Here is a 24,621-nt window from a genome sequence, read left to right on the forward strand (position 1 = left end):
ATTTCCAATTTCATCCATGTCCCTACAGAGGACATGAACTCATCATTTTTTATGGCTGCATAGTATTCCATGGTGTATATGTGCCACATTTTCTTAATCCAGTCTATCATTGTTGGACATTTGGGTTGGTTCCAAGTCTTTGCTATTGTGAATAGTGTCGCAATAAACATACGTGTGCGTGTGTCTTTATAGCAGCATGATTTATAGTCCTTTGGGTATATACCCTGCAAAAACAATAAACTTATTGGCTAAGCAGGTTTAAAAAAAAAATACCCTGCAGAAGCAAATTATTACATTTATTATCTAAGTTCCAAAATCAAAAGTTGGTTAATTTGTGTCATGAATCATACTGGAGGCTTATTCTAAATTCTAAATATCCTGTTTATAGCAACTTAAAATGCCAGCTCATTGTATTATAATTTTGACATTAATCAACCTGACATTTTTCTTTTATAAAGGTAAGGCATGAACATATTAGCTCTCATGATTCTTTTTTTAAAAAATTATTACTTCTCCCAGATTTCCTAAGCCCCATTTCTTTAGCTCTTTAAGTTGTTACTGTGATAAGGGAAAATATTGTTTTCGTGTGATGTGCTGTAAATAGGTTGGGCAGCCATCTCAGTTTGCCTGAAACGGAGGGGTTTCTCAGGACATGGGACTGTTACTGCTTAAACTGGGAAAGTCTTGGGGAAACCAGGATGGTTGGCTATCCTACTGTAAAGCTATTACATAAGGTGGGGTAAAAGAGGAAAGGAAGAATCAGTAGTGGTATTAATCTCATTAAATACAAAAGAATTATTAGTACACCACTGTTCCCTTGATTTTTGACTCATGCAATCTCTGATGAGTATCTGAAGGGTAAAATTGCACTCAACTAATTAACTCTAAATGTCAGGCATTTGGACATCGTGTTTTTTTTTTCCTTTTGCTACCATCATCATCTGTGGAATGTATTTCTTCTCCTTCATTTTATGCTGTTCTGCTTTCCTCTGATTGTGTCATGCTTCTTCTTTTTCTTTTAGGTCAACTCAAATCAAAACATACTCTTGGGACAATGCCCAAGTTATTCTGGTTGGGAACAAGTGTGACATGGAAGACGAGCGGGTCATCTCAACTGAGCGAGGTCAACATTTAGGAGAACAGCTTGGTAAGAAACAAATTAATAAGTTAAAAAGAAAGATAATTTGCTTATTATATGTAACTCTGTACAGAGTCCGAGCTAATTGTCAGGGTGGAGTTAATGAAATGTTTGTCAATCTAAGAGTGGAAAGCAACATAATCCTCCCTAAGTGGACAATATATTTTCTCCCACTTACTATGGCATCATGAGAGCTCAAGCGCAATTACAGAAGCAAAAATGATACTCAGAATTTTGGTCTTAGTACAAGGTATTTAAATTCTTATTCCATGAGAAACACAGGTTATGCCTTGTCCGTTATTTTTGGTTTTTTTCCCCCATACTCTATTTTGCATTCAGTGAGCTCTTTATTTTATTGTGTGATTATTGTTCTCAAGTTTCCATTGGAGGAGGATAATGGCACAGAATAGGTCACATCCTAGATTCTGATTCTAGTGACATCACTGATAAGCCATGTTACTGTTACAAATCCTTTTGAGACTTAGTCACCCCATCTCTCCAGAATGAGTATCATAGCCCGTGCCTATTTAACCAAGTCCTTGTAGATAAGATCAAATGAGATAATAGATATGAGAAAGTTTCAGAAATGGCAAAGCCATTTCAAACACAAAACATTGTATCTAAAGAGAAAAATGCTGGAGTGAGAAGGGTAGAGATTTAATACAAAGGAGGGATTGATGATTGATGATTGATTGATTGAGCCAAGAAATTTTTACTGGGTACTCGTTGTATGCTTTATATTATGCCAAACATCATGGGGTATACAAAAAAGTAATTCACAGTCCCTAGGCTCAAGTTGCTCCCAATCGAGTGGACACTGAAGACTGGAGATATACATAAGGAAGCAGAAATACAAGTCAACAAAAACAGGTCAATGAGGAGATAAGCTGCAAGGCAGATGCCAACAGGAAAGCAACAGGGAGAGGGAGGCAGACACAGGAAGGGGAAAAACATTGCCGGAAGGAGATGTAGGAGTGGAGTGTGATGGGAGGAAGATAAAGAGCAATGCAGAGAGGGCCCCCGGGGAGATCAGGTGTGGAAATGAATACACCAAGAGGAAGAGATGAGTGATGAGGGGAGATGGAGATCATATGGGTGAAATGGCAAGATACAGCTTGAATGGTCTCTGAAGGAGAGTAGAATTTGCAACTACAAAGGAGATGAGGCATTATGAGTAAAGGGCACAGTCATGCATGGACATTGAGATGAGCATAAGGTGAGAGGACAGTGAATAGAAAAGTGAGAACCTAGCAGAAAGTTGCAGAACTGAGTTGTGGATTTGGGGAACAACTCCAGTCCTAGAGGTGAAGGAGTTGGAATTCTTTTTGTTTTTTGTTTGTTTTTGGTAGACCACTGAGAATATTGAGGCATTCTTAGCAAAGAAGAGTTTGACTTTTAACCTTTTTGGCCAGGACCTGCAGTAAGAAATACTTTCAATTTAGCAACCCAATACATACATATATAAAACTTCTGTAAAACAAAAGTTTTACAAAACACATTTTAACTTTACTTGATGAGATTCACTCTGTTTTCTGTCTTACTTTTCTTTCTTCTTTTTTCTTAAATGGTGGTCCCAACCCACTAAGTTGATCCCCAGAAGCAGTAATGTGTCTCAATCTATAATTTGAAAAACACTGTTATAAAGGGGATGATTTGGGATTAATCTGCTGGTGTTGTGCAACATGAGTCAGAAAAGCAAAGTCCCTCTCATTGGGTCACTCTTCCTCTTGATCATCTCATAACTAATCTAAATACAGTTCACTCTGAAAGTTTGACCATTTCTCATGAGCTTAATGAGTTCCTTAGACTAAAATCTATCCCTGGATGGCCACAAGAACCCTTCCACCAAATATTCTTAGAGCCACCCAGGAGAAAGTTACCTGGCTGGTGTACGGTCTCCTGTGGCAGCTTTTGAAGTTACCATCTCTGCCACAGGGCCTCTTCCCACTCTACCGATTAAACAATATGAAGAGTCTGAAAAAATGATAATTTTTTTTCTTAATCCTCTTAGGACCTCAGAAAGATAAGAATGGGAAATAATAGATCCCCAAAGAAAGAGAGGGAGGAAACCTGGGAGAGGGTTGGCAGGTTGGCTTCCCAAGATGGTCTCTTCCCTGTCTTCCTGTGTTTTCTTAACTAGCTGGGCACATGCCAGGATGGGGAAGAAACTGCTACACAGATGTAGGCTGTCTCTATGAATAAAAATGAAAACTGTTTGGTTAAAAAATATATATATGTATCTCCAAGCCAAGAATTGTTTAATGTCATTGATACATAGGAGGCAGGCAACTGGCTAAATTTTTTAACACTCTAATAAATTACTTGGATATTGAGAAGACCAGGTTGTGAAAAGGGATGTTAGGATGATGGAAATGCATCAATAGGGTGACTTTCCCACTGCTCCATCGACTGGCACACACACAAACCCTTTCCATTCAGTAGACAGATGTAGCAAAGTTCCTGAAATTGTGAAGCAGAATGTTTTATGTTCCTGTTCAAGTTCTTCCAGTGGTTTCTAATTGATTTTTTGCTCTCTATTCAATAAAAACCCAGCTGTTGTCATAGCAACCAACACATGTGCATTCTTGGAGAGTCATTTACCTCGTTTAATGTGGCTTGTTCTCCTCATGGCTACACATGCTTCTACAAATGATCCTGAGGGACAATTTGTATTTTTAAAAAATGCTCTCACAATTTAAATTTAAAGATTTTAAAGGTCTTTGCTTTGTTTTTTAATTACTTGTACATTTTATTCTTCAGAATACCATCACATACACACAAAAGTTGCACATTGTTTTTTAAAAGTCATTACCACATCTTGGCAGATGGCTCGAAATAACTGCTTTATCGATCTGGTAGCAATTAATTCTCCATTGTGGATTGTTTTTTCTGTACAACATTTGCTCATCCTAATGAGGGTCCTTGATGGAACCAAGTTGTAATGGAGCTCTTTAAAAATTCTTGTATGGCAGCTGTCGGTCGCAATCCAGTTTAGTTCATCAAGCATTTATTAAGTGTTTACAATATGCCAGTTACTGGGAATGCAATGACAAATAACCCTACCTTCTAGGAGCAAACATTGTAATGCCTGAGATAGACTACACAGACAAAGAATATTTTTCTGGCTTTCCCTTTCTCAGCCATTTTGTTTCATTTGATCCTTTGAGCACCCCTCCTTACTGAATGCTGCTTCGTCAGCATTTATGACGTGGTGCTCTCTGTTCATCTCCTCCCTCTCCAGACTTGCATTTAGTTTCCTTGGTAGACTCCTCCTCCTTTATCCATCTCCTGCACTCTGGCTTTCTATCCTCAGTCCACCACTCCTCTCTCTCTACACCCTCCCTTGGATGTTTCCATCCACTCCAAGGTTTTAACTGCACCTCCAGACTAATGACTGCCAAATCATGTCCCAGGCCTGACCTCACACTGGCGCTTCAGGCGCCAACATCCACCTGCCAGCTGTGCATATTCAGTACTTCTGATTTAGAGTAGTGGTCTAATCATCTGCAGCTGAATTGGCTGGGGTTCATTTTCAAACGCACATTCATCAACCCAACTCAGACCTGCTGCATCAGAGTTTTTGAAGTTGAAGGCTAGACTCTACATTTTTAACAAGCATTTTTGTGACTTTTATACGACTAAATTTCCAGAACACTGGCTTTTGTGGGAAGCGAGTGTTTGGAGAGGGTAGGGAATTATTGCTGCCAGAGCTGAACATTACCCTATAGCTGGTGTTATTTTACCATGCTTTTTTTTTTTTTTTTTTTTTGGATGGAGTCTCGTTCTGTCACCCAGGCTGGAGTGCAGTGGCGTGATCTCAGCTCACTGCAACCCCTGCCTCCTGGGTTCAAGCGATTCTCCTGCCTCAGCCTCCCAAGTAGCTGGGACTACTGGCACGTGCCACCACGCCCGGCTACTTTTTTGTATTTTTAGTAGAGATGGGCTTTCACCGTGTTAGCCAGGATGGTCTCAATCTCCTAACCCCATGATCTGCCCACCTCTGCCTCCCAAAGTGCTGAGATTACAGGTGTGAGCCATGGCACCCGGCCTCCATGAGTGTTTTAACAGTTAGTCTATATGTATGTACCTATAACAATATATAAGAATGTTTTTAAATTCTATATTAAATTTATAGTATGGTACTTATATATGTACAATCTCATAATTTAAGTTTTAAATGTACAACTACTGTTTTAAATGAGAAAAAAATTTGGAGATACAATTAAAGATAGATTTTCCTAAAATAGAATAATTTATCTGGGAATAAGAACAAAGAAAGAAATTTATAGAGGAGGATGGATTTGTATTGCCTTGAAACCACAGGTGAAAGAATACTTGAACCATTATTATAAGCTCGGAAAGGGCAGAAAATGCAGAAACTCCTGTTTTCCAAAAATGTAGTCAGAGAACCAAAGACTGCAGAGAAACTATAATTGCTTCTGAGGAGAAGTCATTATTAATAATTTGTAAGGAGCCAATTTTAAAGCGTTTTCAATTTGCATTAATATTTCTTCCTAAAACAAGTAACAGATAATATTCCCAATTCTCTCCACTCAAACAATTATCTTAATAGCCTCTGAACATACGTATTACCAAATTCCAGATTCATCCCCTGTACCCTTCCTTCTTGTCCAGCACTGAACCCCATGAGAATTTCTGAAAGTACAAAATATTCTTATATTTTGCCATTTTACCAAGCTCTATAATTTTTCTTCCCTTCTTTTCCCATTTAATGGCTCTTTTGATTATTCATCTGACAAATATCTATAATAATACTGCGGAGTCATAAAACGTGTATCTTCCCTCTCACGGAGCTTAAAGTGTGGACTGTGTTTCAGAAATAGACTCAAATATTATGAACACGTAAACAGGGCTGAGTGTAACTCAGAGGATAAAGGAAGGGCATGAAGTTCTATGAATGGGTAGTTACTTCTCTTTTTGGAAAATGAAGAATGACAAAAAGATACATTCTATGTCTATATACTCCGAAACATATTGATTTGATAAATACTGGCTTAATTAAACAATTTCTTCAAGGAAATAGTCTCTTGAAGTAGAAAGAGATACATTTAAGACAAATGAAAAAGGATATTCTTTCACCTAACAAAGAATATACTAATGGAACCAATTATCTCTGGAAGTGGAAGGTAGTGCAGGCGGGACATATAATTACTTCCCAAAAGGTCTAGATAAATCAATGCAGGCAGATCTACCATGGCTAATGGGGGGAGTTTGCATTCTGTGGGATATTTCTGTGTCACCAAGCATAAGAGTTTGGGTGTATTGACCATGCTACATCATATGTTGTGGTACCACTCTCAGAGACAAGATGACTGAAGTGACTGAAACATTATAACCTAGCCAGAAAAGTGGATTTTAAGAACCATGCTCTTGATTTCTACTGAGCCTGAATGACCCCAGCATGCCTGATTTGGGAACTCTAAGATTCTCTGATTCACTCCTATGAACTTTTCAGTTTAAATCACCCTTGTCTCTCACTGCCAACCCAGGTAAGGGAGAGAAAGGCATTGACTACACTGTGAAATCATACGGTGGTGGAAGCCCTGAACTTGGATCCATGTGCTCTGGCCATAAGCAACCAATTTCTATTTATACAATTTCCACCAGGAAAAATTGTAATAGCAGCATCATCATACCTTCCATAACCACCAAGCTCCACTTCAGTCATCATACCCTTGGGACAATCTTGAGTCACGCAATAGGTCTTTTTTTTTTAGAGATGGGATCTTGCTCTGTTGCCCAGGCTGGAGTGCAATAGTAGCATGATCATAGCTCACTGCAGCCTTGACCTCTTGGACTCAAGCAATCTTCCCATCCAAGCCTCCCAAGCAACTGGAACTATAGGCATGCACCACCATGCCTGGCTAATTCTTTTTTATTTTTTGAGAGATAGGGTCTTCACTATGTCACCCAGGCTGATCTGGAACTCTTGGGTTCAAGCAATCCTCCCACTCTACTTTAGCCTCCCATGACTGGGGTTACAGTCATGAGCCACTGTGCCTAGCCCACAATAGGACTTAACTGAATTTAGTTTTCTATCTTAAAGTCCAGGAGGAAGGTAGGGCATATGTAGCTGGTAAACCTATTTAAACTCCGACCTTGGACCCCACAATCTTTCAGTGATCCACACAATCCAATGGAAGATGCTAGAAAATAACTAGATGATTACAAAGGATAAATTATCCTAAATCAACCATACTCAAATTCATAATTTCTCTTTTCAAAATGTGCTCACCTTTCTGGAACTTCCCCAACTAATAAACTGAAAAACTCCTTAGCCAAGTGTGCTGTGATTTATAAGAAACCTCTGGAAATTCTTGGTATCTCACTCTATGTCCAAATTACACTGAGATGATTACCACTAAATTGTACAGCAATTTTTCAGTACCTTTAGAGCACCACTTTAGGGAAGCTATAATCAGAACTACTTAAGGCGGTTCTCATCTGAATAACTAAAAACCAAGGTGTTAGAGAGTGTGCTATTTTATTTGCTTGTTTGTTACATTGAGACTGCTGATATTGGGAATAGCAGGGATATCAGGAGTCACTGCTAGGCCTCAGCACATTGAGGGGACCTTGCTTATTTCTCAAAAAAATAATAATAATAAAATAAGGAAAACCCAAGGCGGGGACAAGGAAACAAATCTAGAAGGAAGACTAGATATAGAGAAAGGTTCTCGATCTTGGCTACACATTTCAGTAGGTTGGGAAGCTTTTAAAAATCCTAGTGACCAAGCTGCATCCCAAGCCAACTAAATTGGAATCTCTGGGCTGGGACCCAGACAACAGTATGTTTTTTAAGTCCCAGGTTATTCCAATGTGTAGACATGATTGAGAACCACTGATTTACAGAAAAAACAAGGGGCAGATTAGCCCAGAGAGCCAGCAGAAGGAAGCTGTAATTGGTTCCACCCTTCATGGTGGGGCTCGTGCTGCCCGGCCACAGGGAGCTGGTCTTCCAGGATGGATTCATGCTGAAGCTTTCATGCACCCTAGTCTAGTCCCCATGTGGCCAATAGGTGCATGGATTTTACAGAAGGCTATTGGGGATCAGAAGAGGAGTATGAGGTTATACAACAGAACGTAATTATTAGGACCAATGTAAATTTAGCAAAGTCCACTTGTAATTGCATAACAACCACTGAGCTGAAATAAATGAGCCAAAGATTCTTTTCTTAAACTACAGTGGGGTCACACTAGGAGTTTATTTCTTTTGGGGGGCAGGAGATAGACACTTCAAAATAGAACTCATGAATATATTACGGGACTTTATTCATTTACTAATGTATTCATTTATTCAGTATTATTGAGCACCAACTATTGGTCAAGGCACTAGGAGTTAGGAAACAATAAGACCAAATTTCTGTCACCCCAAAGGAGAGTCTGAGAGACACATAAAGACTTTCAAAAGACAGCATATAATTGTTGTAATAGAGGCATGGACTCAGTGCTAGAGGAGCTTAAAAGATTAAGAATGTCCCTGTTTGGAGGCTCTGAGAAAGGTCACACTGTGGAGACAATGTCTGAACCATGTCTTGAAGTATGAATAGGATTTTGATAGTTAGACAAACAGGTGATGGTCTCCCTAGGCATAATAAATAGTATTCTGGAGGGATCTAAGCCTGGAAAAGTTGACATCATATATCATGGAGAACCTTGTTTGAAAGAATCAAAAACTCGGGCTTTGTCCTATACATGCTGAGGATCCTAAGTTTTAAACACTGGAGTGACAAGATCAGATTTCATTTTGGACCAATTACACTGGCAATATTCCAGAAATTAGGGTGTTTAAGATCAGCAGGAGTACAAAAGGAAAATATTAATAGCTCTATTTATTCGTACCTCAATTTTTTTTTCAGTTATTGGGTATGTTTTATAAGGTACTACTGGAATAGTACATTATATAATTTATGAAATATTCATGTATTAGGGCAGTACTGTTTTTTGAAACTAAGAATTATAAAACAACATATGTTTGGAGACCACTGGCTAAAGGATAGACTGGAGGGTAAGGACAGGAAGCAGAGATTCCAATAAGAAGCTGATGCTATTGGGTAAATTATGGCGAGGCCTAAAGCAGGGGTTCCCCACCCTGGCTGTACATTCGAACCACCTAGGTAGCATTTTAAAAACCATGGCACGGACCCCATCACACACACACACACACACACACACACACACACACACATATTAAGTAAATCAGAATATCTGAAGCTGAGGTACAAACATGAGTGTTTTTAGCTCCTTAGGTGATTCTAATGTACAGCCATGGTTGAGAACCCTTGATTTAGGCCCTCACCATGTCTCACCCAATTGTGTTAAAGTTGAGGACCACAGACCTAAACCAAGCAGTGGCACTGGGGATACAAACAAGGAATTAGAGGCATAAAAGATGATGGAGGTACCTGGCCTGAGTAACAGATTAAAATCATTGTGGAGGGAGAATTTCGGAGTAAAATCAACACACTAACAGGCAGAAGGGAAGACATCCAGAAAAGTCAGAGAGTAGAGAGTCAGGATAGTGGAGATACTTAGGTGGTCAGTCATGAAGGCAAATGGGACAAGATCTAGAAAATACATTGAAAGAACTAGTCTTAAATCTAAGCAATGCAATCCATAATTTTAAATATGACAGTAAATTACTATTTAAATGCTTTGATAAGCATTGATCCACAAATGATCCATGAGGTGATACACATAGGAGGACAGTGGGAATTTGGAGGCTCTTTAGGAAGAAAAAGACAACATTGCATATTGCATAGAGAGGTGACCACCCCTTTCTTTTTAATGAAATCGAAATAGATTTCTAAGAGTTGCCTTCATTCAATGTCTTTTTGATAACACAAGAAATTAGTTCAAAAAAGTAAATAACATCATTAAGAACTGGCCATTGTAGCTACCTATGTCTGCATTGTTAACCTTCTTTTTAGCAAAAGACCATGGCTGATTTAATGGTTTGGTGGTTCACACACATTTATAGCTAATTTCATGTCATAGATTTCAGCCTATCGTTACAGTTTCAGTCCAGCTTGCCAAGGATCATTTAGTAAGCTGGGCACCAAAGCCAGAGAAACATGGACAGCCCTAGTGGTGGGCATGCACCCACCTTGGCTATCTTAAAGCTTTTCTGTTGAGCTCAGACCTGCAATGTTGCCTCCAGCCACTTCACTTTAATGAAGGATGATGGTTTTTTCCTTCAGTTTTAATCCTTTCCCTCTTACCCCTGCAAAAACAATTATGTAATAAAGCCAGGTTGTGCAGCCAGAAACTCTAATGAGGTTAACATTGCCCTAAAGCCTATTTTTAAAACTCAAACCACCTGTTCCAAATATGCATTAGCTCTGTTCTTCAGCAGCTTTTAAAGATTTATTTAACTCTCAATTGAAGTATTTCTCAAAGAATGAAAATTGCCAACCTCTGGGTTCAGCAGGGAATCCCAGTGATGCTACTAAAATGTTCTAAGTACCTATCTGCACACACCTCTGAGGAGAAGCACTGCCACCCTACCATTATATCCCCAGGCTCACTTTCTTTTTGGCTAAGTATTCCCAGGAGGTATAAACTAAACCAACATTGTACATTTTAATGTGTTTGGGTTGGTTTAGGTGTGGTCATATCCATGGGCTGGGAAGGGAAGGGACTGCTGTTTGTTTGCCCTGGTTCTTGTCTCTTTTGTGCTTCCCAGTTCCTGTTAACCTGATCTTTATTTCATAATCTTATGGATCTCCACTCTCCCTTCTGGCAGCTGAAATTCACTCCTCAGAAACTGTCTGTTCCTTATGAATAAAGTGACCATGCATCCCAGTTTGCTCAGGACAGTCCTGTTTATGTTCATTTCCCAGTGTAAGTATTAATAGCATCCCCTTTCAATCTCAAAAGTGACTCAGTTTGGAGAACAAATGGTATGGTTATCCAATCCATGAAACCCCACCCATGCAGCATCTTTGAGTGATAAACTCCACTTCCTCTTTGTTTTTTATGCTGCCCTTCTTCTAAACCTCTACTTATTTTTTCTCACATTCCCCAGTGAATAAACTCTCAAGACTCTGGCAAATCCCTATTTTACTGAGACTCTGGCACATCGCTATTTTACTAATTGCCTTCCTTAACCAACTCCACTAATCTAGGTGTTCTTTCCTATACTCCTTCTTACTAATCCAGATCTTACCAACCTTTGACCCCTGAGTTTCCCCATTCTCATGATTCTGACAGCTCCAAGGGACATCAATATGCAAAGTGCCCTTCTTCATTATGAAGAGCTTCCAAAGCCCCACTGTCTATCTGTTACTTGTGGATCAAAGCTTATCCTCTAACAAACGTTATGTTTACATGTCTCCTGTCCCATCTCGACAGACAAAATTGTCTAGCCCTCATTTTTCTACCTGGATTTGGCTCAGAACTTCACCTTTGCTCCTTCTCTTAGAATGATCTTCCAAGCTGTGCCCTTTTCTCATTCACACAAACTTGCAAACACATTTGGTGAAATGTTTAAAAATTAATCCAGGTCCATGTAACCGAAATCTGTATAAACTGCCAGCTTCATTTTTTATTTGTTTTTCTTTTTTAACAAAAAAAAGCATAAATAGCAGTATTACTTACCAAAATTAAAGTCAGATATAAGAAATATAAACTGCAGTATTTGGATTTGGATTTAATTAATCTGCTAAGTGTTGAGAGCTGAAAAAGATTAAATCAAGGATGGCTTTCTCACACTAAATTGTGGAATCTGTGCTTGGATGCAGCTGGCAGAAACCATCTCTGTTCATCAGCTTTGCACACTGGCCAGTGTTATTTCCTTTCTCCCAGGGTAAAATTATTAGGGCGGGGAACAGTAGAGAAACAAATCACACTAACCAAACTCACAGGGGACAGATTTCTAATTTAAAATGCCTTTTATCATGCTCTGCGAAATGTAAATGTCACACAGTTGGTAATATTCCTGTTAGACAATCAGTGTATCCTTTTATCAATAGAAAAAATACCCTTAGAAAGGCTATCAATTTATTATGGTTTCTTAGTGGTTCTAGATCAAAGAAAAGGGAATCCAATGATGTTCACTCATATATTTCTTTATTTTTAAAATTAAATTAATTTTTTTTACAAATTATGATGTTTCATATTCATAGAATACATAGTGAATTTTTGATACATATAATGTATTGTGGTCAGATCAGGGTAATTAACATACATTTATCATTTCTGTGTTGGGAACGTTCAGTATTCTCCTTCTCGCTATTTGAAACTATACAATGTATTATTGTTAACTACAGTTATCCTACAGTGGTACAGAACACTAGAACTTACATCCCTTATCTGGCTGTAATTTTGTATCCTTTAACAAATACTTCCTTGTGCCTCCCTTCCCCCACACCCTTCTCAATGTCTAGTATCTTCTGACTACTTTTTACTACTATAAGATCAACTTTTTTTAGCTTCCCCATGTGATTGAAAATATGCACTGCTTAACTTTCTGTTCCTGGCTTTTTTCACTTAATATAACGTCCCTCCAGTTCTACCCATATTGCTGTGAATGACAGGCTTTCATTTTTTTATAGTTGGGCATATTTCATTGTGTATATACACCACATTTTTTAATCTATTCATCTGTTTTTGGACACTTAGGTTGATTCCATATCTTGGCAATTGTGAGTATGCTGCAATAAGCACGGGGGTGCAGATGTCTCTTTGATATACTGATTTTCTTTTATTTGAATAAATGCTAAGTAGTGAGTTTGTTAGAGCCTATGGTAGTTCTATTTCCAGTTTTTTTGAGACACCTTCATACTGTTCTCCATAGTGGTTATACTAGTTTACATTCTTACCAACAGTGTATAAGAGTTTTCTTTTCTCTGCATCCTCACCAACATTTGTTATTTTTTGTGTTTTGATAATAGCCATCCTAACTACGGTGAGATAGATGATACCTCACTGTGGTTTTGATTCACATTTCTCTGATGATTGGTGATGTTGAACATTTTTTGATACATTCACTGGCCATTTTTATGTCTTTTTTCTTTTTTTCTTGAGGCAGAGTCTTACTCTGTCACCCAGGCTGGAGTGGAGTGGGTGTGATATCGGCTCACTGCAGCCTCTGCCTCCCAGGTTCAAGCAATTCTCCAGCCTCAGTCTCCCAAGTAGCTGGGATTACAGGCGTGCACCATCACTCCTGGCTAATTTTTATATTTTTAGTAGAGATGGGGTTTTGCCATGTTTGCCAGGCTGGTCTCGAACTCCTGACCTCAAGTGACCCGCCCCTCTTGGCCTCCCAAAGTGCTGGGATTACAGGCATGAGCCACCGTGCCCAGCCATTTTTATGTCTTCTTTTGAGAAATGCCTGTTATTGGTCTGATCGAGTTTTCTATTTCTTCTTGTTTCAGTCTCTCTTTTTTTTTTTTTTTTTTTGAAACAAGGTCTTACTCTGTCACCCAGGCTGGAGTGCAGTGGCACAATGTAGGATCACTGCAACCTCCACCTCCAAGGTTCAAGTGATTCTTCTGCCTTAGCCTCCCAAGTAGCTGGAAGTACAGGTGCCCACCACCACACCCAGATAATTTTTAAGTATTTAGTAGAGATGGGGTATCACCATGCTGGCCAGGCTGATCTCGAACTCCTGAACTCAAGTGATCCACCCACCTTGGCTTCCCAAAGTGCTGGGATTACAGGCATGAGTGACCACACCCAGCCTTGGTTCAATCTTTGTTGGTTGTATGTGTGCAGGAATTCATTCATTTCCTCTAGTTCTTCAAATGTATTGGCATATAGTTGTCCATAGTAGTCTCTTATGATCCTTTATATTTCTGTGGTATACATTTTGATGTCTCCTTTTTGTCTCTGACTTTATTTATTTAGGTCTTATCTCGTTTTTTCTTCGTCTAGCTAATGATTTGCCAATTTTGCTTATTGTGTTATAAAAACAACTTTTTGGCCAGGTGCGGTGGGCTCACGCCTGTAATCCCAGTACTTTGGGAGGCCAAGGCAGGCAGATCACGAGGTCAGTAGACCGAGACCATCCTGGTTAACACAGTGAAACCCCGTCTCTACTAAAAATACAAAAAATTAGCCAGGCGTGGTGGCGGGCGCCTGTAGTCCCAGCTACTCGGGAGGCTGAGGCAGGAGAATGGCATGAACCTGGGAGGCAGAGCTTGCAGTGAGCTGAGATTGCACCACTGCACTCCAGCCTGGGGACAGAGTGAGACTCCCTCTCAAAAAAAAAAAAAAACTTTTTGTTTCATTCATCTTTTATTAATCTTTTATTCTTAATTTCTTTCTTCACCCACTTGTCATTCAGTAGCATATTGTTTAATTTCCATGTATTTGTGTTGTTTCAAATGATCTTCTTGTTATTAATATCTAATTTTGTTTTATTGTGGTCAGGTAAGATACTTAATATAATTTTAGTTTTTAAAAATTTGTTAAGACTTGTTTTGTGTTCTAATATATGGTCAATCCTGGAGAATGTTCTACATGCTGATGAAAAAAATATGTATTCTGCAGCTGTTGTGTGAGATGTTCTATCAATGTCTGTTAGGTCCATCTGGTTTGTGGCATAGTTTAAATCTGATGTTTCTTTGTTAATTTCCTGTCTGGATGACCCAATGCTGATGGTGGATTGTTGAAATTCCCAACTATTATATTATTGAACTATTATATCACTGGGGTCTATCTTTCCCTTTACATCTAATACTTGCTTTATGTATCTGGGTGCTGTGGTGTCAGGTGCATATATATTTATAAGTGTTATATTATTTTGCTGACTCAATCTTTTTATTATTATATTGTATCCTCTGTCTCTTTTTATAGCTTTTGACTTGAAGCATTTTTTTTTAACTGCTGCAAGTATAGCTATCCCTGCTTACTTTTGGTTTCTGCTTGAATGGAACATCTTTTTCCAATCCTTCACTTTTTGTCTATGTGTGTCTTTACAAATGAAGTGAGTTTTTTGTAGGTAGCATATAATTGGGCCTTGATTTTTTTTTAATCTATTCAGCCTGTCTATGTCTTTTAAATGGAGAATTTAAGCCATTTACATTCAAGGTTATTATTTCATAGGTGAGGAATTACTCCTGTCATTTTACTGATTGTTTCCTGGTTGTTTTATATATCTTTTGTTTCTTATTTCCTCTTTTATTATTTATTTTTGTGGCTGGGTCCCTATCTGTAATGATAAGTTTTTATTTTATTTATTTATTTATTTATTTATTTATTTATTTTTTGAGACAGAGTTTTGCTGTTGTTGCCCAGGCTGGAGTGCAATGGCACAATCTTGGCTCACCACAACATCCGCCTCCCAGGTTCAAGATATTCTCCTGCCTCAAACTCCCAAGTAGCTAGGATTACAGGCATGCACCACCATGCCCGGCTAATTTTGTATTTTTAGTAGAGATGGGGTTTCTCCATGTTGGTTAGGTTGGTCAAGAACTCCCAACCTCAGGTGATCCACCCGCCTCGGCCTCCCAAACTGCTGGGATTACAGACATGAGCCACTGCACCCAGCCTGATTCCTTTCTCTTTTTTCCTTCATATATTGCCTCTACTAGGGAGTTTTATAGTTTCACAAGTTTTTATTATGTCATTTATCATCTTTTTACTTCCAAATGTAAGACTTCCTTGAACACTTCTTGTAAGGCCAGTCTGGTAATGATGAATTTCCTTGGTTTTTGCTTTTATGTGAAAGATTTTATTTCTCCATCATTTCTAAAGGATGGCTTTGCTGGGTATAATATTTGTGGTTGGGAGGTTTTTTTTTTTCTTTTGGTACTTTAAATATATTATTCCATTCCCTCCTGTCCTATAGGGGTTCTGTGAGAATTTCACTATTAATCTAATGAGGGTTACTTTATATGTGACTTGATGCTTTCTCTGTCTGCTATGATTTTATTAATTATGCTATCCTCATCTTTTCCCTTCTTTTCTGCTTCCCAAAACACTGAAAATATAAATATTTGTTCACTTAGTAGTGTCCCATAAGTCCTGTAGGCTTTATTTATTTATCTTTTTTCTTTTTTTTTCTGCTTATATTATTTCAAAAGCCCTGTCTTCAACTTCAGAAATTCTTTTTTCTTCTTGGTCTAGTCTGTTGTTGAAGCTCTCAATGGTAATTTTTTTATTTTAGTCATTGGATTCTTCAGCTTTAAGGTTTCTGTCTTGTTCTTTTTAATGATACCCATCTCTTTGTCGAATTTCTCATTCAAATCATGAATTGTCTTTCTGAATTCATTGAATTGCCTATATTCTCTTGTATCTCAGTTTTCTTAAGTTTATTGTTTTGAATTCTTTTTCTGGGATTTCACACATTTTCTTATCATTGAGGTCTGTTACTTGAGAATTGCTGTTTTTCATTGACAGTGTCTTGTTTCCTTGCTTTCTCATGTTTGATGTGTCCCTACACTGATTTCTATGCACGTGGTAAAGTCACTTCTTCCAATTTTATGAAGTAGGTTTCATATGAATGAGTTTTAGGGTATTGGTTTGGTAGAGTACATTGGCTTTGCTTCTAGGTGGATGCAACAGTGTACTCTCCATGTAGTTTCTTCAGCTATAATCCATACTAGTAGCATAAGCAAGTTTCTCAGTGGTCTAGGCTGAGAGAGTCTGTGGCACCAGTGGTGTGGCTTTGTAGGATTGGGGTTGCTGGGCTGTTTCTCAGGTTGGAGGCATATATATGCACACAGTGTGCTAGCTAACTTGGAGTCACTGGGGTTGGAGCTATGGTACTGTTACTCTTGCCACAGGCACAAGCATGCAATTGCTTGTCTGACCTAGAATTGTGCCTGCCAGGAGTGGTCCGTGGAACTATTTCTCAGGTCTACATGCAGGTGCAAGGCTCTTCAGTTGGCCTGGGGGTATGCCCACCAGGGGCAACCTGCAAGGCTGTTTCTTAGGCACTGATGGAGAGTACAGGACCATTGGGTAGGCCACAGCCATGTCTGCAGGGGGCAGGGGGCAGGGGCACTGCAGGGCTATTTCTCAGGTCCTGAGCACGGTCACATAGCGACTTTGCTGGCCAGGGGCAGATCAGCTGCTCAGAGACTCAGGTCCTCTCCCATTTAGGGGAGGGCATGTAGCAGTTTGGCTGGCTCAAGAGTAGAGTTGCCCTGGGCAAGATTGCTATACTCTTCCCCCAGCTGAAAGTGTAGTGACAGGAGTTGTTTTCCCTGCTGTGCAGGACCAGAGTCATAGCTGATTCTGGGCCCAGGCTCTGCACAGCTGGGGTTGTGGCATTCAGCTACCTGTATCAGCTTGTTGGAAATAAAATGGAGTCCCAGTGCTGGAGAGGTGCAGTAGATACTGGCCCCCAGAGAAGGGTGGACCCCAGAGGTAGCTCTGGTCTCAAGATGGTGCTATGCTGCAGAAGCTTGGCTCACAGGGGTGTGAGGTATGGGGAGTGCAAACCTTGTGCTCCTGCTACAGGGCAATACAGCTGCATGAATTCCTAGCGGCTCTCCAAAATGGGCTTAGGGTTTGCAAGAGCTTTGGGATTCTCCTCTTATAAGGACTGTAGGTGTTTGTGGTGGCAGTGGGGGCTGGTGGGGATCATTTTACATTTTCTCTTCAGTGGAAAGTCCTTCCTAACTCCAGGCAGATCTGATCCAGTTTGGATAGACAAGTCTGCAGAGATTGGGTGCTTCTACACAGCCCTATGGTGATTTCAAATCACCCTATGTGTGTCTGCAGTCTCTTGCTGCACTTAGCATTCTCCCTTTGACAAATCGTAGCTGTCTGTTCCTTGCCTTGGTCCTTTTCTACTCATGTATTTCTTATCCTATTGAGCTCTCACTATGTGCCAGGCATGTGATGTTAAGGGATACCATTGAGTAAGTACAATGCTCTTTATTGGGATACAGAGCAAGTAAACCTGTATACTCAGCCAACTCAATGCAGGCATCCTCTCATTTCCCCATTGACCATACTGGGCAGTAAATAATCTCAATCCTTGACTCTTTTTTTCCTTGACTTCACACAAATCAACTCCATTTTCTTTTAATGGTTTTACCTTGAAATTTTTATCATTTATTAGACTACTGATAAAAGAGAAGTCTTACCCTCCATCTGAGAAATTTGGAAGACACTCTAGTCCCTTGATGGATTTTGAGAAGTGTGCTGTTCTCACCAGAAAATCGTTTGTTCATCCTATCTTGGAGTGAATTCCTTCTGCAGATGGCTAATCTCATGGACTTTGTGGCACTTACTTAATAACTTTATTCTCAGTGGATGACTTTTTCTTGTCTCAATCCCAAATCCCAAAGATATACTCTCTTTGATGCCTGTAGGCACCTGCTTTCAGCTGTGTACAGACTGACCCATGATATTTCATCCGTGTAAGCCATTAGAATAGTTTTCTCCACTAAATCTTGGTACTATGCCCTATTGTCTCTATTTTACCCTTAACTTTACTTAACTGGCATTTGCATGGCTTGGCTTTATTTGACAAGGAAGTAGCCATCCTAAGAAAGATTCATCATCATCTCATCCTCTGCCTTGAGAGTTCAGTGAAAAAGCTAGCTGCTTCTGGAGAGAGTTCCTTTTCCATATTCAAACTTCATCAAGACAAGGGATGATTTAATTACGACTTTCAGAATTTGTCACTATATAAAGTAAAATCATTTGTATGAAGCTTCACATAGTGTTCTGTGTCTAGGCTGTGTTACTATTGAAAGGAGGTAGATATAGACCTCGAGAAGAATTTCTTGATTTTAAGAATTGGCAGATATTAGTACATATTAGAAAGGATAAGAAATCCCAAGAACTTGTAAATGAAGCCAACAGCTAGTGGAACACTGCCAAAATATAAGAAGATGGACATTAGGGATGTACAAAGGTTAAGAGTGTGGACTTTAGAGTCAGATTTTAGATCTTGTCCTGGTTTACCAAGTGTGTGACTCAACCATTTTCGCAACTGTAAAATGAGCCTTGTAAAGTCATCTACTTCATGGGGCTGGTTACAGGATTAGAAAATAAATGCAAAAAGGCCTAGCGTAGTATGTGCATATAGTATGTACTTAATAAATGTTAGTTACATTTAAGATTCCATATCCTTTGATATCACAATGAAATTTCATTCATTTGGGCCCTAGTAATTAAAAATGTATTACACTATTTGCTCTATTTCATATGTATCCTCCACAGCAAAAATAACTTCCTAATTGATAATGCATATGTTATTGTAACCTGAAAATCCTAAACAGACAGAAGTTATCAATGTTTTTGTTGACAATTCATAAATAGGCTGAGCTGGAAATTGTCTCCTTTATCATTGAAAGCCTATTGAAATGTTAAGAAGTTACAAGGTTATATTTAACCCATTTCAGAGAAAAAACTCTTTTAAAACACTTAGCACTCTTTGCATATAAGCAGCCACTCTGCCAATCATAAATGATCCTTATCTCTTTATTAAAACCAATATGACAGAACATTGACTTCTCAGCACTTTAATAGTTCTTAGTTCAGGTGTTGAAGTGTAACGATCTTGCATTTCTTCAAATTTTTTCAGAAATATGTCTTTCCTTGTGAGTAAATAGAGCTGGTTTAATTTGTTTTATATCATAAATTTCCCACAGGGCAAAACCAAAACGATATTTTGTGAAATTCCATGCTTGGTAAACTCCATCTAAAAATGATATGGCTGACAGAATTGTTCACTGGTTTAGTCACGTCATAACTAAAAACAAAGGAAAAGTGATTCTCTTTCTCTCCATTTCCCCATTAACCCCACTACTTCTCCCAGCCAATTAACAGAAATCTATTCTTTAATTAACCCTATAAATATATACACCTACTATATACCCACAAAAATTTCAAAAGTTAAAAAAAACCTTTTAATTAGCCAACATCTACTGGACACCTGCTCATGCTGGGCACTATGTTACTATCTCTAGAGATATGGAGAAGCACAGTGGAATGTACATTCTAATTGCGGAGCAAAACACACGTAGTATGGAGGTGGTCAAGGAATGAGGGGTGTTTGCTTTTGGATGCAAAGTTTCTTTCTGGGGGGTGATGACAATGTTCTGAAATTAGATCATGGTGATTAACCTTTGTACATCCCTAATGTCCATCTTCTTATATTATGGACCAGGATTTGTTAAGGCCATAGACTGACCATTGCATAGTTTCAGAATTCTAACAGAAGTAGGAAAATGCTACCATCTGGTCATGCCTGGCTAAAGACACAGACTCAGGGGCTGAAATACCATTTTTTTAGTAGCACTAGCCTTTGGTTGAGCTCCTATTCTTGCTTTTCTACAGCTTTGGTCTGCAATTTTGGCCCTTCTTCAGGCAAATTGATCAAAAGCCTTACCTCCCACTTCTCTTCCTAAAGCCTGTCTCTGGGCTGGGGCCCAGTAGAGGACGAGCTAATATGCCAGTTTGTCCTGCTGCTCAGCAATCCCTACTTCTGGCTCAAATGTCACCCACCCGGTAGCAGAATGACCTTTCCTTGCAGTTCTGGCCCATCCAGTTCCACAGGAAAGGGGAGACAAGACATTGCAACTGTAACTAGAATCTGGAAAAAGAAGATTTTCTCATTTAGGAGCTTGGGAATAGAAACTTAAGAACAAATCACAGATTTTTAACAATTGGAGATGAAAATAATTTATTGCAGTGTGACTTTAGTGGCTATTTCCTCTCTACAGAAAAAAAAATATCACTTGTGATTTTTCTTTCAAAGTAAAGTTTAAAAGATCAGAGTGCCCCAAGCGATGTTTCCCTGGGGTTAAAAAAGGAGCAACAGTGCCGCAGAACATCTCATAAAAACAAATGGCATTTCACAATATGGTGTAGCTATTGATGGGTGGAAATGAATCAAGTGTTTCCTGTAAGATTGTTGTAATGCACTGGAGAAAGCGGGGGAAGAGGTGGTTAAGTGTGCAATACTGTGATTGTGATTATTACCATTAACACAATGCAGTCACATGTGGAATGGAGTCCCCTAGGGTGCTCTGACGTTCCAGTACTCTTCAAGCGCCAGAGTGACATCCTGGAGCCTGCCACCTCAGTGAGCAGCACACTTCTGGCCTAAGGCCCTGCTTGCTGCCCTGTGGGTATCAATGTGAAAAGGCCTCAGCCTTCTCTGAGGCTTCCTTTGCTCTAAGGACCTCCTGGGAGCAAAGTGGACAGAAGAGTGTCGGCAAATCAGGCCTGCGCCACAGCCAGGAAGTGTGGGTTCATGTTCTTCACGTGCACCGGAAGGTATTAGAATGCCCTCCTTGAAAAGCAGCTGCTCTTTCATCTCCATTGAGACCAGAGCAAAAAGGATTAGATTTAAACACCTGTAAGAAGGGTTCTTGTTGAGCATGGGAACCATTTTGTGGTAGGGGATTCTGCCAGTCACCAGAATGGTTTCCCCAATCGGCCATGGGGTTTCTCAGAAAAATCTCTAAGGGCAACGTACATTCTCATTCATTTAGGACAGTGATTCTTACTATATATATATATATATATGTGTGTGTGTGTGTGTGTATATGTATATATACATATATATACATATAGGTATACATATATGTATATATGTGTATATATAGTTTTATAGAGGTATAATTCATATACCATAAAATTCACCCATTTGAAGTGTACAATTCAGTGGTTTTTAGTATGTTCACAGGACTGTGCCACCTTCATCACAGTCAATTTTGGAATATTTTCATAACCCCAGAAAGAAGCCCCCTGCCCATCAGCATTCACTCTGCCTTTTCCCTCACTCTCTACCCCAGCCTAGGAAGCTACTAATCTGCTTCCTGTCTTATAGATTTACCTATTCTGGGCATTTTTTATAAAATGGTCTCATATGAGATATGGTCCTTTATGTCAGGCTTTTTTCACTTGGAATACTATTTTCACTGTTCATCCATGTTGTAGCATGAATCAGTATTTGTCTTTTTGTGACTAGCTTATTACACTTAGCATAATGTCCTCAAGGTTCATTCATGTTATAACGTGTGAAAATTTCCTTTCTTTTAAAATTGAATAATATTCCATTGTTTATGTATAACACATTTTGTTTATCCATTCATAGGTTGATAGGCACTTGGATTAGTTCTACCTTTTGGCTATCGTGAATAATGCTGCTCTGAACATGGGTGTACAGAGGAGGGTAAATCTTAACCTTAAATGTGCGTAAGAAACCTCCCAAGGAGCCTGTTAAAAATGCATATTCTGAAGCCCCATACACCCCTCTTGATTCCCATTGTTCAGTATGTGTAGAGTGGAGTTCAGAAACTTTTAAGCACTTCAGGTGATTTGCTCTGTCACCCAGGCTGGAGTGCAGTGACGTGAACACTGCTCACTGCAGCCTTGACCTCCCAGGCTCAGTGGTCCTCCCACCTCAGCCTCCCGAGTAGCTGGGATTACAGGATTGTGGCACCACACTCAGCTAATCTTTGTATATTTTGTAGAGGTGGCGTCTTACTATGTAGGCCAGGTTGGTCTTGAACTCCTGAGCTCAAGCGATCCTCCCACCGTGGCCTCCCAAAGTGCTGGGATTACAGGTGTGAGCTATGGCACCCAGCCCATAATTTAGGTGATTCTAATGAGGGTGAACCTCCAATCCTATGAAGTCAGGGTGTAGAATCACAGCCGTTTGTCACTAGAGTGTAGTCTGGCTTACACTGCCTCTCTCTGCTTGCTCTTTCAGTGTCCACCATGAAGAGGACACAGGTTGGCTTTTGCTTCTGCTCCTCTTTCCTCAGCATAGCTAACATGTTTTATCAAACAAAACCTTTCCAAGCTTTTATTTGGTCCCTAACATCAGGTGAACCTGAAGGGATTAGTGTCCCGCTGTACCTGTAGTGGTTTTTGGAAAGGGTAGGAGTGACCCTTTCAGGATCAGGCATGAGGAAGCCTACAACAGAGATGTGCTGGACCACAGTGCAAAGCTCATGCATCTCACGAACAGTGCCGCCTGCCTCTGCCAAAGAGATTAGAAAGGCTTTGTTAAGGGAAGGATGAGAAAGAATGATCAGAGTTTCTACAGTTAAGTGAAAGGCTTCACTGATTTGCTGATGAAGAAACCTACATGAGCTGAAAATACTAATTCTGGATGATGTAGTCTGAGAGACAGGTGTTCAAGGCTGTAAGCTAAATCAGTAACTTATTTATCAGGAGGTCTTTGTCAGACTTCACAATCGGCTTGCTGTGTGACTTTGGGCTACTTATTTGATCTTGCTGAACCACACTCTTCTACCCAGTAGATTGGAAGTGATCTTCAAAGTTATAAGACTCTGTTTCTGAAGTATCATTGATCCAGCTTCCCACTGACGTTGGTGTGTACGAATGGGAGATTAAAGATTTCTCAGAACAAGCTCAAAATACTGAGAACTGATCTCAAAATACAGAGATACTGGGAGGTAACAGCCATAAAATCTGAGTTAGTGAAAGAACAAAGGCTGTAGTGGTTGCATTAGTGGTTATAACTTAGGCCATGAGCTTTAAGCACCCATGGGCACACACAGTTGAGGGCATGAGCATCCTCATACACAGGTGATTGAATGAAAAGACTGATTCGCTTGGATAGAAAATCAAGCCCCACTTGATTTTCTAAACATCCCTGTACCCCAAATCTAAACTACTAAATGCTAAAATACTAATGATATTGATTTTGATCCTGAATATCTTATTTTATGACAAACTTATGACAAGAGATCCCAGCATATCTGGTCAATGAGAAGCACTTTAATTTCCAGAACCTTTATTTATTTATTTATTTGAGATGGAGTCTCGCTCTGTCACCCAGGCTGGAGTGCCAGTGGTGCGATCTCAGCTCACTGCAACCTCCACATCTCAGGTTCAAGCGATTCTCCTGGCTCAGCCTCCTGAGTAGCTGGGACTACAGGCACATGCCACAACGCCTGGCTAATTTTTGTATTTTTAGTAGAGGCAGGGTTTCGCCATGTTGGCCAGGCTGGTCTCGAACTCCTGACCTCGGTGATCCACCTGCCTCAGCCTCCAAAAGTGCTGGGATTACAGGCATGAGCCACCACACCCAGCCTCCATAAATTTTTATATCTATAAATCTAGAATTCTGTATAGAAATACAGCTGTCATGATGACCATCTTGATGAATCTTGAGCAGTGTAAGATATCAGAGTACTTTTGGAATCACCAAGAAAGATTGTTTCATTTGGTTTACTGGCAGTGTTAAATCTAGTTAATTATTTTCTGATTATTTAACTTGATGAAAGTTTATGGTATATTGTGATTGTTAATTAACATAGGACTTACAATTTAGCCAAAACAAAATGGTAGCTTACTTTTTCAGTGTATCTGGAGAAGCAGGAGAGTGTACAAGTTAGTAGTTCATGTTCCAGCTTTGCCATTTACTAGCTGAGCAACGAAATACTTGAGCAAATTACGGAGCCATTTTCTGCCTCTATTTCATCAGTAAATTGGAGAAAATAATGGTACCTACTAATGGATAAAATGAGTTAAAATGTATAAAATGCTCTGAATAGTACCTATTATATAGTAAT

At 39.4% G+C, this 24,621-nt stretch overlaps 1 protein-coding gene across 2 annotated transcripts in view, besides 1 other annotated feature; it reads left to right on the plus strand.

Moving 5' to 3' along the window:
* Positions 1–24,621, plus strand: part of RAB3C (RAB3C, member RAS oncogene family) — a 277,243-nt gene that overhangs the window by 241,864 nt on the left and 10,758 nt on the right. For both annotated transcript variants that reach the window (NM_001317915.2, NM_138453.4), the window contains exon 4: positions 1,023–1,147. In NM_001317915.2, the coding sequence (NP_001304844.1) occupies positions 1,023–1,147 (125 nt within the window). The remainder of the gene's footprint in view (positions 1–1,022; positions 1,148–24,621) is intronic.
* Positions 14,041–14,210: an enhancer, noted in NCBI's record as "experimental_86681 CRE fragment used in MPRA reporter constructs". NCBI's record gives its function as "activates a minimal promoter by MPRAs in K562 erythroleukemia cells, with activity observed for the non-introgressed 5:58133968 variant allele {active_cell/tissue: K562}" and the evidence as "EXISTENCE:reporter gene assay evidence [ECO:0000049][PMID:34662402]".

This window comes from Homo sapiens, chromosome 5 (assembly GCF_000001405.40).
Source record: "Homo sapiens chromosome 5, GRCh38.p14 Primary Assembly".
Taxonomy (NCBI): domain Eukaryota; kingdom Metazoa; phylum Chordata; class Mammalia; order Primates; family Hominidae; genus Homo; species Homo sapiens.